The 18,540-nt window shown below is 40.5% G+C and overlaps 1 long non-coding RNA gene across 1 annotated transcript in view, besides 3 other annotated features; it reads right to left on the bottom strand.

Annotated features, from left to right (window-relative positions):
• The window catches only part of LINC00578 (long intergenic non-protein coding RNA 578), a 310,784-nt gene that overhangs the window by 138,891 nt on the left and 153,353 nt on the right, over positions 1 to 18,540 (bottom strand). The gene's annotated exons all lie outside the window — the stretch shown is intronic.
• Positions 3,003 to 3,643: an enhancer, noted in NCBI's record as "OCT4-NANOG hESC enhancer chr3:177327959-177328599 (GRCh37/hg19 assembly coordinates)". NCBI's record gives its function as "activates a minimal SCP1, AML or CMV promoter by ChIP-STARR-seq in naive and primed H9 embryonic stem cells {active_cell/tissue: H9 hESC(naive and primed)}" and the evidence as "EXISTENCE:reporter gene assay evidence [ECO:0000049][PMID:30033119]".
• Positions 6,690 to 6,890: a silencer, noted in NCBI's record as "fragment chr3:177324712-177324912 (GRCh37/hg19 assembly coordinates)". NCBI's record gives its function as "represses an EF-1alpha promoter that drives an FKBP-Casp9 reporter gene in an ReSE screen in HepG2 liver carcinoma cells {active_cell/tissue: HepG2}" and the evidence as "EXISTENCE:reporter gene assay evidence [ECO:0000049][PMID:32094911]".
• Positions 10,959 to 11,253: a silencer, noted in NCBI's record as "tiled region #14869; HepG2 Repressive non-DNase unmatched - State 23:Low, and K562 Repressive non-DNase unmatched - State 9:DNaseU". NCBI's record gives its function as "represses a minimal TATA promoter and a strong SV40 promoter by Sharpr-MPRA in HepG2 and K562 cells {active_cell/tissue: HepG2 | K562}" and the evidence as "EXISTENCE:reporter gene assay evidence [ECO:0000049][PMID:27701403]".

Here is an 18,540-nt window from a genome sequence, read left to right as displayed (position 1 = left end):
GGAACAGGCAGAGCAACCTAAACAGCTCTAATACAATTTGCCATGGTAAAAGTATAGACAGTTCTGTGTGAATGCAGGTAACAGGGAGACTAATTCACCTGAGAGTATCTGACAAAAGATACTCAAAATATGATCCAAGAGCCAGCTCTCATTATTACTCCATATGAAATAAGTTCAGAAATTGAGAGTATTTATTTAGAAACTCTTACAGCAATTGACAAAGTAGAAATTCTACCTGCTGAATCTCATAATAAAAAATTACAACTTGTGCTTTGTGCTTTGTATGTCTGTGAGCAGATTGGAAATTTTCAAAAAAAAAAAAAAAAAAGGGAAAAGGAAGGAAGAGAGAAAAGGAAATTGGCCCTTCTGCACAAAGAAGTTGAGAAGAGTGGTCTTCAATGAATCAGGCTTGACCTAGTCCTTGCAGATGAGTAAGACTTCCACAGCTAACTATGTGAAAGAAGGGTGGAACGAGGACAGTCAGCAGCATCTATTCAGAAGGGGGGATTCCGGGAACAAATGAAGACAAACACAACTTGTGCAGTTGGAAGATATGAAGTGTGAGTATCCATGGACGTGTGGGAAGAGAACTCAGCATTAGTGAATGACGCAAAGGTTGGGAGATTTTATTCCAACCTGAAGAGTTTGCATCTCATAATGTTGGCAAGCAGAGAGCTATGAAAAGCTTTCAACTGGGAAGTGCTATAATAGAATCTGCACATGGATAAAGGATGTTCAGTAGCTACTTGCTAATTGAACTATTGCACATTTGCTATAGGGACTGTAAACTCAAATGCTTACCTAGGCCAGGCAGGTTCCATGCATAGGAAGGCAAGGTTATCAATCTAGCAAGCACTTGCCTCATCTAATGGGGCATCTACTACTCAGATCTTTCCAGCTGTTTTCATCTGGAGATGCACACCCAGTGTGCCACATCTCCAATTTTTCAAGAGAAGCTGAAAAGCTGGGTTTATATGGTAACTTCTAAATTACACATTAGCACTAACTTTAAAATTTTTTGGCCAAACAAAACAGGTCTGCGTGTTGGGTTTGTGGTCTAGTCCCCAATTTGCATTAGCACTAATTTTAAAAATTGTTAGAAGATACTATGAATTACACATTATCACTATGTTAAAGATTGTTAGAAGACACTATGAAGGCCAAACATGCTGGATTTTTTGTCCAGACCCCCAATTTGCATCTCTGTTTTAGCACAGAATAAAGAGAGGGAGGCACGGTGGCTCATGCCTGTAATCCCAGCACTTTGGGAGGCCAAGGTGGATGGATCACCTGAGGACAGGAGTTTGAGATCAGCCTGGCCAACATGGCAAAATCCCGTCTCTACTAAAAATACTAAAATTAGCCTAATGTGGTGGCACGCACCTGTAATCCCAGCTACTCAGGAGGCCGAGGCAACGAGAATCGCTTGAACTCAGGAGGCAGAGGTTGCAGTGAGCCAACATTGCACCACTGTACTCCAGCTTGAGTGACAGAGTGAGATTCTGTCTCAAAAAAAAAAAAAAAAAAGAGAGAGAGGAGAGAGAGAGGACTGTTACATCTGTCAAAGTGATCAACTGCTCCTCGTGTATTTTTTGGTCCCCAAAGCATACAGAGATTATTTTTAATACTCATGATGTGATGTCTGCACTGCCCTGTGTTGCTCTGTTTTCAAGGATGATTGCTGGCCTTACTGATTACCGCTGGTGTGTACTGATGTGCCCTAGTCTCGTATATACCTAAAATTCCTTCTTACACGGTTCAGCAGCAAAAATTATGTGCAATTAAATCATCCTTTATAGCTTTACAGCCTGTACTTCCATCACGAAGGGGTAGAGCAGTGTGTGATTCTTATTGCCTTCATCCCTTAAAGCCAGAGCACTTGTCATTCCTGGACCAAAACTGGGTGTCTCCATCCAGCCTTCAGTGGAATAGTGCTTCTTTCTGCCAGAGCATTTCACTATTCCCTTTTCTCTGAGGATTCTTGTGCACCTAATGTTGCCTGGGCTTGATTTCAGTCAAGATAAAGGCAGTATCGAGATGCAGCTTGTAGCCCCTTTAGGAAGCTTCCAAATTACGGGGCACTTAGAAAGGAAAAAGTTTTTCTTCCAATAGTTTCAGAAAAGAAAAAAGTCTGCCAGTAAATTTTAAATGTGTTTGTTAGAAAGCGTGGTGGGGGGTGAAGAGGAGAGGGAAATAAAAAGAATCAATAAAAACCCTCTTCCCAGCTGTTCATTCCACAGCCTGCATAAAGAATACACATCTTTTTGATTAAAGTGCAGCTTTCATGCCCTTCTCTGGCAGGCTGCCAAGCTGGCTTAAGGTGAGGTCTGCTATTTTAAGGTGGAATTGTTTGCATTTGACTTGAAAAGACTCATTATTCCATAGCTCACTTTTTCACACTGCCTCAGAGGGGAAGCAGCAATTTAAACCTGAAGAAACAATATGGAGGAAATGACCCTCGGCCCCTCAGGGAGAGTTTAAAAAACAAAAATCCAAATAACCTAATTCCACAGCTTTCACCATTCCCAGTGGCACTTCCTATGGTTCCAAGAAACTTAAATTCGACTTGATAGGGTTAAATGTCCGTAGACACTGACATCATAAATTCCCACAACAGACATTGTAAAAATCACTAAATCTTCAGATTTACTTAGTTTAGGTGGACTTTTTTGTTCATTTATCTTGTAAATGTATCCACTCAGAAATCCATATAACTGCTCAGACTTTGAATTGATTCCAGCAAAGGATAAACATTGTGGATTGCTAGCTGAGGTTTTTTTTTTTAAGCCTGGTTGGTTTTATATTTTTTTCACAAAATATCTTGGTCTTTTAGCCTGGGAAGTCATTGAGTCTGTGTCTGAAAAACAAATCACTGCACACATGCACAAATATGGCCAAGCTGTGCCATTAACCCTAAAATATGGCTGCCTGTCTCCGCTCCTCTGCTGTTCTAGAACACTTAGCTGGGCTCACTTCCTCTTAGCCAAGATGTGCTCCCTGCATTAGAATTGCCTGAGTTAATTATTGGATTTCTTAACCAACCCATTGTATAATTTGTTAGCCTCAAATCTTTTTGGAAGTATTAATTATTGGCTGTCTTTGTGTGCCCGGAGTTTGTGAGGCACTTAGTATGTTTTTGACCACCTGTAAGCCAAAAATAAAACTGTAAGCCCCTCCAAGTGAATGCAGGGATTCCCTCTCCACCAAGGAAATTCCAAAGAAATCTGAAGAACTAGTTCAGGTTGTGACAGGAAGGAATCATTATGCTCTCTCCCTTTCAGAGTTTAGACACAGCTGACCAGCATTAACATTAAAATAGAACAGGCATTTGTTTCTTTGTTGTTTGTTTGTTTGTTTTGGAGACAGGATCTCACTCTGTCACCCAGGCTGGTGTACAATGGCATCATCAGGGCTCGCTGCAACCTCAACTTCCCAGTCTCAGATGATCCTCCCACCTCAGCCTCCCAAGTATCCGGGACTACAGGTGCACACCATCATGCCCAGCTAATTTTTTTGTATTTTTTGTAGGGACAAGGTTTTGCCATGGTGCCCAAGCTGCTCTCAAACTCCTGGACTCAAGCAATCCACCCACCTCAGCCTCCCAAAGTGTTGGGATTACAGGTGTGAGCACTGAATCTTGGCCTGAAACGCAGCCAAGAACAGATTCTTTGTAGCAATAATACAGCAAATTCCAACCTGACTCTAGTATAATATCACATAACAGATAAAGAAGGATATCAAAATATTTTACACCAAATTATGTTTCTTTGCCATATTTTGAAATGGTCCCGCAAAGCCATTTTTTGTGGGGAAACTTTTGCATCTGTAAAGAATCTCTGTTAACTTAACATAACTAGATCTTTCCCCTTCCAGCCCCCTCAACCCTGAAGAGATTAACTGAGAGTCAAATACCTTTTAAAGGTCTAAATAGGAAACATTTGCCATCTATTGTCTCTAAGGGCAGCAACCTCTGTGATATCTTCTACTAATAAGAACTTTGGTCTCCACAACCCCTTATCTTAACCCAGACACTTCTTTTTATTGATTCCAGGTCTTTAAATAATAACTAACTCTTTCAACCAATTGCCAATCAGAAAATCTTTGAATCCACCTATGACCTGTAAACTCCACTCCACCACACCCCAAGCCATCCCTCACCACCCTCTATGCCACCCCCACCTCACTTCCACTTTGAGTTGTCCCGCCTTTCCAGACCGAACCCATGCATCCCTCACATTATATTCATTGATGTCTTATATCCCCCTAAAATGTGTAAAATCAAGCTGAAGCCCAACCATTTTGGGCACATATGTTCTCAGCACCTCGTAAGACTGTGCCTTAGGTGACGGTCACTCACATTTGGCTTAGAATAACCCTCTTCAAAGATTTTACAGAGTTTGACTCTTTTCATCAACTCTTTTCATCAACATACCTTTTAGCAAGATGGTGTCTCATAAATATAAAGCAGGAATTTTAAGTTTATTTTTTCCCTTCTTATCCAAATCTCACTGTTCTTTTGTTATTATTAGCACTTGGAACTGATATTTGAATATTTCCCCATTGCACTGTAATAATGCACAACAATCTGCGTGTATCTGGTACAGAATGATCGTTTTCCAGAAACAGAGAGAGGGTTCTTTGTCTTGTGATATAAAGAAAATATAGTCATAAATTAAAATGTCTATGCTATTGTTAATTTTTTAAAACTATAGAACAAAACAATTCCACACAGAGTAGATGGGAAATGAAATGGAATACTTTTCCTCACCTAGATTAGATGATTTCACTTTTCCCATTCTGTCTATTTCCTTTCTATGTCTTCTCTCAAGTTGTAAAGTTTCTTTTAAAAAATAATTTTTTAAATAAATAAACAGTTTGAATTTAACACATGCAAGAAGGGCTTTGATATAACTGCTCACAACACACTGGTGGAAATCACTGAGTTGTAGGGACAGCTCTATAAAACATTTCTGCAAGGCAATGGAATAATTTACTTTCTTCAAAAGACTCAGTCAAGTCCTTTTAGCTCCCAGAAGAGTACAATCTACCTCAGTTAAAAGATGAGAAGAGAGTCACTAATGGCTTTGGGCAGAAACCTTCCTATGTCAGTACCTGGAAAGGGTTACCCTGGGCCCAGGTGTGGCCTCAGCTTCACTACACACATTATGTCAGTAAATCATCGATTTTTAGTGTTAGTTCCCATTTGAGAATTAAAGCAAAGGTCATGAGTTTCTTCCTATGTAAATATACATATGTCCATGTATCACCAAAGCCCTTTCCTGGACCCCACTACCCAATTTTTAAGTTTGCCCAGAGGTGATATGTCTCTGGAGCTAGATTCATGCAAAGCAAACCCAAAGTCTGATTTACTAAGCCAGAATGCCAATTTACTCATTTAGAACTGGCGACATGGCTTGGCCCAGGAGTTAGGCCAACTGTCTGCACATTCCCTTTTGGTAGGTAGAGCTACACAGAAAATCAAATTACAGATCCGAAGACTTCCTGGTGATTTTAGAAATAGAACAGAGGAGGTGGATGTTATCATGCAATAGCAGCCTGATCAATTTCTCTTCTCCATTCCAAGGATATTTGTGTCTACCTTCCAACCTCAGAGTCCCCTCTCCCCTAGATGCTGTTTGTCAAATTCCAGTATACAGAGGGGAGGGGCTCGGAAGATAAGTCTGTCTGTCACTTGCATAAAATTATTAAGCCAAACAAGTTAAATGCAACTCAGAGTGTGGCAGATTTGGGGACCACTCCAATCATTTCTTCTTCAGGATGTGTTCCTTTTGAGGATTTCAGAATTACTTTATTAGTAATGAGTACACATTTCTTCTGCAGCTGGCTATAAATGGAATGTTTTTAGTTTACGTTTCAAAGAGAGAATTCGGCCTGAGTTTTTCTGTAAGTCTTCTGAGCTCATCTTGGTTGGTAATTATCAGCTACCATGCATCAACTATAGAGTTGACCCTAGTGCTTATTTGCCGTAATACAGAGCAACCATGGCACAGATCATCTAAAGCAGCTGTTTAAACGCACGTATGGTATTTTTCAAGGACATCTGCTTCCTGGGTTTTTTCTTAGATTATTATTTCATTGTGTTTGCCTTTGGAGCCCAGGAACACATTAAGTGAGAAAGAATATAGTATTTTCCACTTGCTGCTCAGTCTCTCTCTCTCTCTCCCCCTGCCACCTCCTCTCCCTCTTTCAGTAAATGTCATTCAAAGCTAAGAATCTAGAAATTCTTCTTCAGCCTATCAGCTACCACAGCAGAAATCTCAATCTCTGTTGGTAAGACTTAAAATTTTCTCCTAAATTATGCTAATGAGACCATTTGCACAGTGATTTTTTTACAAAAGGAAACAGGCTTGTCCTGTGCTCTTTTCCTTGTGAGGAACCAGGTAAAGTAAGGCAAGCAAGTTTTCCTAAGTGTATAGAACAAAATGACAAACATGAGGGCTGTGGGAAAAGCAAAGGCTAACACGGAGCCAGAGAAGCTGATACCAGGCAGTTTAGCAGAGCACTAGGGCCAAACAGTAGAACTTCAATACAGAGCTGAACAGAAGTTGGAGCGGGGACCAAGATTAAAGCAGACAAAGAGATGACAGGAAGATTTCTAGAGGCAGGGCGCCAACTCACCTGGCTGATGAGGTCATCTTTTTTAAAAGGGCTAGGATGATGTGAACAAAGTCAAACTATGATTCAGGATAGCAAATAGGAAGCATTTCATGAAAGCTGTGTGAGAGTAGCAACAGGTCAAGCAAAGCATCTCGATGTGATCCGGGCATCACAGGAAACAGGAGTAGCTTTATCTCCATGGGGCTTAGTGTAAAGATGCTATCTGGCTCCTTTCTCAACCAGTTGCCTCAGCTGAGGCATCACAAAAATCAGCACAAGATACTCCAGGGGTACTCATTATCTTCAAGTCTCCTGATGAGTTAGATTTCCTCAGAACAAGTGAATGGAAATAAAACGTAAGACAATCCAGGATTCATAAAAGCTTCACCTTGGCAGAACTCCTGGGTGGTCTAATCTTCCAGGATTCTGATTTGCTGTGCTTTCCTTTGAAACTAAATAGAAACCTCCAACAGGCCCTTATTTCTGCTTCCGAAACATGTTGAAGTTTGTCAAGAGTTTAGCTTATATTTTGGACAAAATGGCATCACTTAAGTTAATGTTCTTTAGTAAATACTGATTAAAGATATGCTCAAGAGATTTGTATTTGTATTTTCTTTCTTCAGAAGAGAAAAATTTCTTCTAAAGATGAACACAAATTGTACAAGAAATATTTTCCATTAAACTATGTTGTGGTTCTTGGCCAGGCGCAGTGGCTCACACCTGTAATCCCAGCACTTTGGGAGGTTGAGGCAGGCGGATCATCTGAGGTCAGGAGTTCAAGACCAGCCTGGCCAACATGGTGAAACCCCATCTCTACTAAAAATACAAAAATTAGCTGGGCATGGTGGTGGGTGCCGGTAATTCCAGCTACTTGGGAGGCTGAGGCAGGAGAATCGCTTGAACCCGAGAGGAGGAGGTTGCAGTGAGCCAAAATGGCACCATTGCACTCCAGCCTGGGCGATAAGAGCGAGACTCCATCTCAAAAAATATATAAATAAAATAAACTATGTTGTGGTTCTTACTTTGTGAACTCCAGAGAAGTTAAATTCTTCTCCACCAAAACCCCAGTAAACAGTAGGCCAGGAACAATGCTTAACTGCTAATACAACGTTGAGGCACTATTAGCTAAACAACACTAACAGACCCAAGTCATAAAATTTTCCTACCAAACATTATATAGGAAATATTGTCATCTTTTCCTTTAATTGCATTCAACAGAGAGCTAATTCATCAATTGCATTAACAGGTATTTAATGACTTGGGAAGAACCTGAGTGATCTTAACACTGGTGGCATGAAAGCTGTGTTGAAACTATAAGTTGTTAGGTATCTCTGCAGCAGTAAATCAGTATATTTATTGGAGAAGAGCTTTGGGGAAGAGACATCCTTTCACTTTTTTTTTTTTTTTTTTCTCAAACCTGCTAATTCCAAACAGAACTTTAAATTCACAACTGGCACCTTCCATTTCCTTTAAGGAATTGGGCAATTACTATTTGTCTCAGTCCATTTGGGCTGCTCTAACAAAATACCTTAGACTGGGTACATTATAAACAACAGAAATTTATTCCTTACAGTTCTAGAGGCTGGGAAGTCCAAGATCAAGGTGCCAGCAGATTCAGGTCTGGTGGGGGCTCATTCCTCATAGATGGTGCCTGGTTGCTGTGTCCTCACATGGTAGAAGGGGCAAACGAGCTCCCTCAGTCCTCTTTTGTAAGGGCACTAATCCCATTCAAGAGGGCTCCATCCTCATGATCTAACCATTTCCCAGATGTTCCATCTCCCAACACTGGGGATTAAGTTTCAACATATGAATTTTGGAAAAACATGAACATTCAGATCATAGCACTATTGCAACCTGCAATTTTTAAACATGAGAATAGAGCTGATGCCTTTACAGAGAATGAAAGTGTTCCATGTCTTAACCTGGATAGTGGTCACATAAAGTTGGGATTCAGGCAAATAGCTAGATATATAGATAATCAATTAAATAACATGATGACATATAAGCCAAGTGCTAGGGAACTACAGATAACAAGAGCTGTGTTTAGAGAAGGAAGACAACCCTATCCGGGGACAAGTTAGGAGGAGGTTTTATAGGAGGTGAGATTTGAGCTGGCATTAAAAGGCAGGTAACACCCAGACAAGAAGAGAGAAGAGACCATTGCTCAAAGGAGACATTCACTGTGCCCAGAAGTATGGAGGGGAAATGACATAGGAGCCAGTACATATATATAGTAGACACAGGAAGCATATTTCCTTGACTTTCATTAAAATAGCACTTTATTTACATATTCTTCACTTTTATTAGGTCCCCATCCTTCAGCAAGCTAAGCTAAATTGTAGTATGTAACGATTTCAAGTCAATTATTCTGAAGAAATCTCTTTATTCATATGACCTGTCTTTTTTCTTTTTTTTTTTTTTTTTTTTTTGAGACAGAGCCTCCTTGCTCTGTCACCCAGGCTGGAGTGCAGTGGCGTGATCTTGGCTCACTGCAGCCTCCACCTCCCGGGTTCAAGCGATCCTCCTGCCTCGGCCTCCCGAGTAGCTGGGACTACAGATGCGCGCCCCCACGCCTGGCTGATTTTTGTATTTTTAGTAGAGACCAGGTTTCACCATGTTGGCCAGGATGGTCTCGATCTGCTGACCCCGTGATCCACCCGCCTCAGCCTCCCAATGTGCTGGGATTACAGGACCTGTCTTTTTTCATAAGGATTGCAAACAAAACAAACAACAAAAATCTCTGGTATTTGGAGCATCCCCTTGGAATTTCCATGACATGACCTTATCACGGGTAATCTCCCAGAATTGAGAATTTGCAGCACTCCTTTTTCAATGAACCTTAGACAATCATTTATTTTCCACTTAATCGGTTTAGTCCGTGGAGCCTGCACTTCACTAGAAAACCATTTGGGAGAAGGAGAGGTATTCATTCAAAATATCTTGGTTCATCGAGCCAATTAAGAATCAGAAAAGAGCCTGGGCATAGTGTCTCATGCCTTTAATCCCAGCACTTTGGGAGGCTGACGTGGGTGGACCACTTGAGGCCAGAAGTTCGAAACCAGCCTGGCCAACATGGTGTAACCCCATCTCTACTGAAAAAAAACAAAAAAAATCAGCCAGGCGTGGTAGAGCATGACTATAATCCCAGTCACTCAGGAGGCTGAGGCAGGAGAATCACTTGAACACAGGAGGCTGTGATTATTGTGAACTGAGTCTTGAAGCAGAGCAAGACTCCATCTCAAAAAAAAAAAAAAAATCAGAAAACATAGCCACCTTCATTCTCACTGTTGCTTTACAATCTTTTGTCTTAGGTTAAGTCAAATTTAAAGCGAGTCTCTGGTACGGGAGTGTGATATTCTTGTCTCTGTTTACTTCAAACATTGTTTAAACTACTCCTGTGGACTAAAATAACCTTAGCCAGCCCTACATTTGACTTCTAGGAGAGTTTATCATATTCTTCATGGAAAATTTCTTTTTTGTTTCAGTTATCATGGAAATGATAAGATCACGAAAGGAAGACTGAGCACCTGGAATGTAGTTGTAATGAGTGGAACTAAACTTCAAGTTTAGGTTAGTTGAACTAAGTTAAGTTTACACAGAAGAGAGAAGTTGCTGACAGCCAAGAAAAAAAACTATGTAAAATCAACCACTTCCCCACATGCATTTTGAAATGTAAATACATTTAACACCCAGAGAGGTGCAGGGGAATCTAGCTATTTTGGGCTATTCTGAGCAAGGACAGCTGTATGTTCTGAAACATATGGCTCCACATTTGTAAAAGGGAAAGGGGTGAGGCAAGAAACCACAGAATGGCATATTTGAGTTGGTCATTTTGAGATTCTTAGAAGTTCTGACATGAAAAAAATGACTCCCTAATACTCAGCATGACAAGTATCAGTCATTGGGGAACATTCTGTCAACTGGTATTTGAATTGGAACAAGTGGAGATAAGGTTCTTTCTACACAACAGGCCGGTTCAGTTCACCGTAATCAGCAGGACAATTCCTCCTTCCCATTTTGTCCCTGTTTATGTGCTTGGGTGAAGGGGTTATGGAAGGGAATGGATCACCCTTTGTATATCGCATGAGTTCTTTCAAGGTAGCTAGGAGCCAAAAGACTTGCTTTTCTGGTTTTCTCATTGTTTCCAGTGCCAACAAGGCTCCCTGGAACCTCCAAGCTATGACATGATTATGCTCATTATGAAGGGCAAATAGGACCAGCCCTCCAGACACTCCAACACCAAAACTATTTTTATTAAGGATTTTCTCCACTTACCTGGGAGTGGTTAGGTTTTGGAGCTTTTTGGAGGTATTTCCTCTCACATTCCTACCATCCTGGCATACAATTGTTGGACACCTGCCTATTTCACATCCTCCTTCCTCCTTTTCTTATCGCTCCCTGAGGTGCAGTTTACCCTCCCCTGCATCCCCCACCATCTGGACCAGAGTTTCTGCCTCTCTGAACCTAATTATTTCTCTTATTCTCTTGAACTACTGCTTCCCTTTTGCCTATGACTCATAACCTTTTATTAACAAACAAACAATTCTTTGCTCTTACAGTGTTCCCAGCTCAGTTTTTCTTTTCTGCATTCTGTTAAGTGCACACTGACAGGTGAATACCAAAGTATTTTATGTTACTACCCGCCCCAACACACACACACAAACACACACACACACACACACACACACACACTTAGTAAACCTTTTCTTAACCTCACTGGGGTCACCATGCAAGTGATATTTACAATGCCAGAGATTGAAGCCTGAAATACCCAGCTGAAAAATCTTTAAATTTCAGAAGGCAAATGAAAAGAGAAACATAAATGAGTAACACAACAATTTGACGATGAAGAAAACCAAAGAGGAAGAGAGCTCTGAATATAAAATGGCTAATATTAAAGAGTAAGAGTACATTTGAATGAGATAATAAGGGAAGGGAAAAATAGTTTCTCAAAAGGGGCAGATGTATTGTCCTGATTTCTAGATCATAACAGAGACCCAACAAAGGAGAGGGTATCAAGAATTCTTCATTTTGAGTTGTCCGTCAACCAAGGCATTCTGGTGGCAAATCACCTAATCTCTCCTTACGTCTCCACTTCAGTATCTATAAAACTATATGTAATAAATCTAAACTATGGACCATGTGTAGTCTAAGGAGTACCTGATTCAAGATTATTCAGGCTAATACTAATGCTCCAGGTTATTTCTGTTATGATTGATATTGTCAGAAAAGCCCAGAAAGGATTTAGAAATATTTGATGATGAGATGTGGAGCCAGGGAGGGATTGCAGAGGAGTCTTTGCATCTTTGACTTGGAGACTTCAAAAAAATACACTGAGGCTGGGCACAGTGGCTCACACCTGTAATCCCCACACTTCGGGAGGCAGAGGCAGGCAGATCACTTGAGGTCAGGAGTTTGAGACCAGCCTGGCCAACATGGCGAAACCCCGTCTCTACTAAAAGTACAAAAAAATTAACTGGGCATGGTGGTGCACGCCTGTAATCCCAGCTACTTGAGAAACTGAGGCATGAGAATTGCTTGAACCCGGGAGGCGGAGGTTGCCGTGAGCTGAGATCATGCCACTGCACTCCAGCCTGGGCAACAGAGCAAGACTCTGTTTAAAAATAATAATAATAATACTCTCAAAGGGACACCACCAGAGGATTGTATCAGCAGGATTTATTCTCAGAGTTGATTGATGGATTCCCTGTCTATCTGGGAGTGGTTAGGTTTTGCAGCTGTGTGGAAGTGTTTCCTCTTACATTGCTATTGTCCAGGCAGGTTCATTCTGAAAAGCAGCTTGCTGACAGGGGTGTGTGCTAGCTGCAATAGAGGAACAATGATTGTTAATTAAGAAGAGGACCCAATAACAAGAAATCACAAGCTCCTAGGTATCAAAAACTTGCCTGACTACTTATCTTAGCAATGCCTTTAGGCTCTTCAGCCAGTTCTGCCTGTCAGACCTCAGAGAGCTATTCTAATTGGTACAGAAAAGTTTGAGAAATGATGCCACAACAAAATGGCTACTATTTCCTAGAGAGAGTTGCAACATGAGGAATTATCATTTGAAAATTCATTCAAGGTTTTTGAGCAATTCATCTAAAGACATCTCTGGTGAAAAATGTGTCCACGTTTTCATAGGTGATATAATATGAAATACTTTTCATTTGTACAGTACTTTCAGTTTGTGTGTGACCCACATATATTCTCTTATTTGCTCCTCCTCTGCCCTCCTTCCACCCCAACAACACAATGAGGTTGGCACTATTATCCACAGTTTACAGATGATAAATCTGAAGCCCAGATACATTTGTTCATCTGGGCCCATGTCACAAAGTTCTTAAGAAACCTAGCTAGGACTTCTTCTCAGATTTTCTGTCTCCAACTTCGCTGTTCCTTCTTTTATCTTATTGCTGCTTAAGAAGATACAAATATATCAACTTAGAAAAAAATAAGAGTTAAGGAAAAAAATAAAAGTAAGGCAATGCATGTTTGGTGCTTGCATAAAATTCCTGATTTGTGATATTAAAAGTAAGCTGATTGATTTCTCCAAATTATGATGACTATTTCTAGACATAGGCTTGGTTTCTCAAAAAGGATTAGCTAATTCCACTAAAAAATTTCCTAAGCAAGTGTTTCATGAACATTTTTAGTCACTTGACGATCATTGATTGAACCAAACTCTGGTCACACTAGCCAATATATAAAAATATTATGAAAATGAATTGGATGGGGAGAGGAAAACACAACCATAGATTGACAAGACAAACACCAAATCTTTACAATACATAACACTGGGAGGTGGGATGATGGTTGATTTTGCTTCTTAGTTGGACTTTTCTGAATTTTTCAAATGACCTACAATAACTATGCATGACTTCTATAATTAGGAAGGAAGTTACACATTTTTATTTATTATAAGAATGCCATGTTAGATGAATGAACTACAAAATTGCAATTAAGACCAAGAAATCACAACAAAATACATTAGTAACAGAAGAAACCATCCTGAGACACCTCTCCCTGAATCTCTTGCAAATCATTAAGGGACCCCACCCTCCAGGTCATCATTAAAGGTAATTGTTCTAGAGGATTCTGAGGGAATAACAAAGTCTATACTTACTCCCTTCCCCAAACCAGGGCAAACAGCCAAATGTAAACATATTTTTAAATCTTGCTTTATTGTGTTGTTTATTCAAACTCAGTATTTTAGAAACGTATTCACTTGAGACAGAAATATAAGCAGCCTGGATGTCGGGGGGTTTGTTACAGGAGCACTGCCTGCCAGGAGGTGTGGAATCGTGAAGGGTGGTAGGTAGAGTAGGCACGGGGTGGTATGTAAGTTTGTGCAGGAAGGAAATAAAGAAGAGTATAGGCTTTGCCCAAATGTATGGTGTTTCTGAAGCCTTCCTAATGTCTAACCTATGAGGGCACACGCACGTGGAGCATCCCTGGACCCCCAACCCCACCCTTCCTTCCTCTTGCTCCATTCTTTCCCACACCCTTTCCACTTCTGCCCTTTGCTTGTATCACAGCTTCACTTGTCAAGGTTCTTATATGAAGATCTATTGTGTCATTTTAAAGATTTGTAAGGGCCCACATTGCTAAAACATAAAACGAACAAGAACTGACTTGTGTGCATAGAATAGGTCTCTTTCCTCAGAAAAGGAAGTGGCTTGGGAAAAAAAAATCCACAGGGTAGTTTCCAATATCACTACATTCTGGAAGTCGAGCTAGAGGAAGTAAGTTGGATGCTTACTTAATAGCCCTCACCAACAATGGTTTCTGGGACCAAAATGAATAGCACTTTTTGTTTTATTTTGCTTCTACCTTACTTTATACTAATTATATGAAGTGGGTTTTTCAATGTACTCTCTGCTTTTACATTCTGTCATCAGCTCACTTCCTCCCTCCCCTCTGCTTCCACCAGTTGGGGAAAAGTCTCTCATACATGATTATTGGCAAAGTGTTCCCACAAGTCATTAATTGAATCCTATTTCCCACAATAGCCATAGTACAAATTATTTTACATATCCAATTGCAAAATAGATGGCCCTGAATTTGTTTTTAAGACACTCATGTTATACAACTCAACTAGTATGGATGGAAGAAATCTAGTCTTTAGCATTATATATTGGTGTCCTAGTTCGTCAGGATCAAATTGATAAATATGAGAAAATTAAGCTAGGCGCTAAGTTTCGTGAGGGTATGGACCATTTCTCGCCACCCACCCCAATGCCTAACACAGTCCTGGCATGTGGATGGCATCAATAACATTTGAACTAAAATGTAATCGAATTGAATAGAAGTTTAATGATATCGCCAAGCTTAATTAGGCTGCAGCACTGTAAAAAAAAAAAAAAACTGGATCCTAAATAGACTAGTAGGTTCAGAAAACCCTGTCTGGTGGGTATCCGTCTGCACAGCATAAACAGACTGCTGCATTGACTGGAGAGAAAATAGGGAGGTAGGAATTTGCCTATGCAAAGCCAAGAAGCTGGCACTTTCCACCATTGGGTATGCAACCTGGTGAAATTTGGCAGTCAGTCTTAGCCAAAGGGGAAAGAAGCCACTCTGTCTTTAAGGACAGGCTTTCTGGAGAGACCTGCTTTCAAAAATCTCAAGGCCGTGACAAGTCACCACAAATCCGTCCTTTGCTAAACTGACTCTAAAGTGAAGCAACTGACTCCCTTCTGTGTTCCAAAAGCTTTTACATATTCAAGAGTCTTTTTCATACAGTAGCTCCAGAAAGACCTTTTTGAGTTTTTTTTTTCTTTTTTTCCATTTTAAACATCTTTTGTCTGGCAAATAAAGTCATCCTTCATCATTTTAATGTGTAAAACATTTCCAGCCAAAATGTGATTGAACTGTGCCAGATCAAAGGTTATAATGCAATTTGTCCAAGTCAGTAGGAAAATAGAATGTTAAGCATGAGAAACATTCTGAGACAGCAGGGGTGAAATGTAGTCCCCTCTCCACTGTGAACAGGGTAAGAGAAGATGAAAACCCAGGAAAAACAATTCAGCAAAAAAACAAGAACATTCAAAAGCCCAGAAGAGAATTCTGAAGTGCGGAGAAGACCTGGAGAATGTCATATTAACGATGAGTGGCAACTGAAAAAAAAGAAGAAAACCTTTCAGGAAGTAGAGGATACACGAAGTCAACAGGAAATGAACTGTGGGTTATTTAAGGTTATCTGAGAGCTAAATGTGCCCTAAGTGTGACCCAGTAAAGGAGGAAAGGTCTCTATAGAGATGCTAAGAGGTTGTCTGCTGGATGCATTACAGTGGGTATTAGACTTCTGGTTGTTTTTTTTTTAATCAATATGTGATCCAAGAATCACATCAAAGAAGGCCTCTCCTCCAAGCCCCATAAGCCAAACATAGGCTGCCTACGTTTGAAAGACCTGTACATACACAGATCCCATCCCTCAACTGCCTCCGTGTGTTTTTAATGGACTCTTCACAAGCCTAAACTGGCTATGTTCCAGCCATGAAGCATGAGGCTGGAGAACAGCTTTTTTGTCTTCACCAGCCAAGCATTCACTTCCTGTGAAGCCAGATAGATAATGAGAGGGAAACAAAACCGCGTTGCAGGGTCATCAGTTCAGCCTTGCCGCTTCTAAACAGAAATATATGTAGTGAATCAAAAAAGGCTTGTCTGAATGTGCCTTGGTCGAAGCACTGAGAGTCTACCTAGAGCATTCAGCAATGTCTGGAGCATTTCTGGAAGCCATCCACAGGAAACTGAAGCCACCGCATTGATTTCATAAGGATTCATTCTCCCCAGGCTGCTGGGTTTAAAATGGGCTGAGTGAGCCAGAGTACAAATTCAAATTTGCTTAGGCAATACCGAATCCTGCTAGATTGTAACCCTCTGCTGCCAAACTTCTGGAAAACTGCTTAAATTATGGCCATAATGTCTCTTGTCAGAAAACAAATGGATAAAGTCTTCTCCCACTTCCTGGGAAGAAACCAGTAAGCTGGGATAGCTTGGAGCACACTGGAACATTGCAAACCACAAATGTCTAAATTACCCAGCCAGGTGAGTCCATCCAGTTCTGGTCTGAAATGTGCCCTGAAGCAATACAGACATGCAGAACAGAGTTGCCCTGGCATAGTCAGCAGCGTGGAAAGCTGTGTGATTAAAGCCAAGGGATGTGCATGGGAGTTGTATGAGTGAGCAGAAGGAGGTATAGCTTTTGATACAATCTTCCTCCTTTGGGATGGAACACTTACACCTCTGGTTTTCATTTGCAAAGAGAAAAAAAAAGCAAAAGAATAAACAACAGAAAATATGACTTTGGATGCTTCTTTCAACATCTGAGTAAACCTTTAAGGAGATTCCAGGCAATAGAACTTGGCACTGTGCTTCACAAGTTGGTGTAAAATAACTGGTGCCAAATGCTAAAAGGGAATATCCTTATGACTCTGCATGAAAACTCTGGCAAAGCCCACTCCCTTGCAAAAGGGTCTTCCATGATGCTTTTGCCACAGAAATCCAGTATAATTCCACAGCACTGGGGTCTGGCACCTTTTCCTGGCATGACTCCTTGCTGTACGTATATGTGTATATCCAAGCATCTATGCTTAATGAGCATGCACTCAAATTCTATCTGGCTCGCCTAGTTAACAAGGTTTGGGCAGTCAGGAATATGTTGGGGCAATCACAGCATGGTTTTAAGATAAAAGGAAGGTGTTCTCTTCCTGGAAAGACTCCAGCAGTCCACAACCTAGACAAAGCCACGTCTGAGTCAGAGCCTGTGACCTGTGAATGTGACCAGTTCCCCAGAGTTTCTGGAAGACTTCACTGTAGTCTCCTTCAGCAAGTGAATTGCTCCCAGTCCCACCTCAAGCAAGTTGACACTGAACAGCAAATCTGCCCTATATTCAGCTGAAAATTCATGTTGGTTTGAAAGCCAAGAGGAGGGGATAAAACCTCTTGATGAAGCTAATAGGAGGGGTTTACATAAAGATGCAAATACAGTTGAGAATAATCTCCAAATTGGAGGTGGGGTTATGATTGGTCCTCATCTCTAGAGATATAGACAAAATCATTGCTACTTTAATTATTCATCGACATAACACAGGGATCAGTCACTACGGTTTAATAAGAGAAATTGTATTCTAGCGCCACTGACCTCAAGGAGCTTACAACAGTCATCATAAGCAATACTTGTAGAGGTGTTTGACATTTCACAAAATGCTTGTTGCATGTATCAGTGCAGAGATATGTAAGAGAAACATAAACTAAATGAGAATAAAAGAGTCATTATAAACTGGTGTATAATAATACATCAAATGACTAGTACTAAGAGTCATCACTGGGATATCAGAGGAGAAAATGGCTGCTTCAACCAACCAAAGGATGATTGGGAATGGAAAGTTTATGAGATGGGAGATTTGAAAGAGGAAAAACATTCTTACCAGAGAAGATAAACATCTTTTTTTTCTGTCAGATAACAAACTATATTTTGAACCTTTCTATGTTGTAGGCACTGTGCCAGGTGCTGGATTTATAACCACAAAAACAGAGGGGCAGAATGTCTGCATTTCCAGTGGGCAAGACAGACAATGTGTAAGTAAACAAGTAAATAAACAAGAGAATCAGATAATGCAATAAGTGCCGTGAAGGAAATAAATAGTGATGTGACAGGTCTTTTTTTTTTTTTTTTTAGTTCTCTATTGTGCACGTAGCAAGTGCTCAGTTAGTTCAATCTTATTAAACATGTGGTAGCACAAAACTGCATAATATTTCAAAATAAAAGCTCCAATGACAATTTCACCAACTCCTCTGCAGTTGGAAATCCACCAAGTGTAAATTAACTTTGGCCTGCTGGTTACCCTCAAAACAGCAATTGCATGCCTCCTTCACTCAGTGTTCTGGGCCAAACATACAATCAAAGTAGAACAAAATAATGAG

The sequence above is a fragment of the Homo sapiens genome, chromosome 3, assembly GCF_000001405.40.
Source record: "Homo sapiens chromosome 3, GRCh38.p14 Primary Assembly".
NCBI classification, from domain to species: Eukaryota; Metazoa; Chordata; class Mammalia; order Primates; family Hominidae; genus Homo; species Homo sapiens.
The sequence above is the reverse complement of the archived record's forward strand: the minus strand, read 5'-3'. Positions and strand labels throughout refer to the sequence as shown.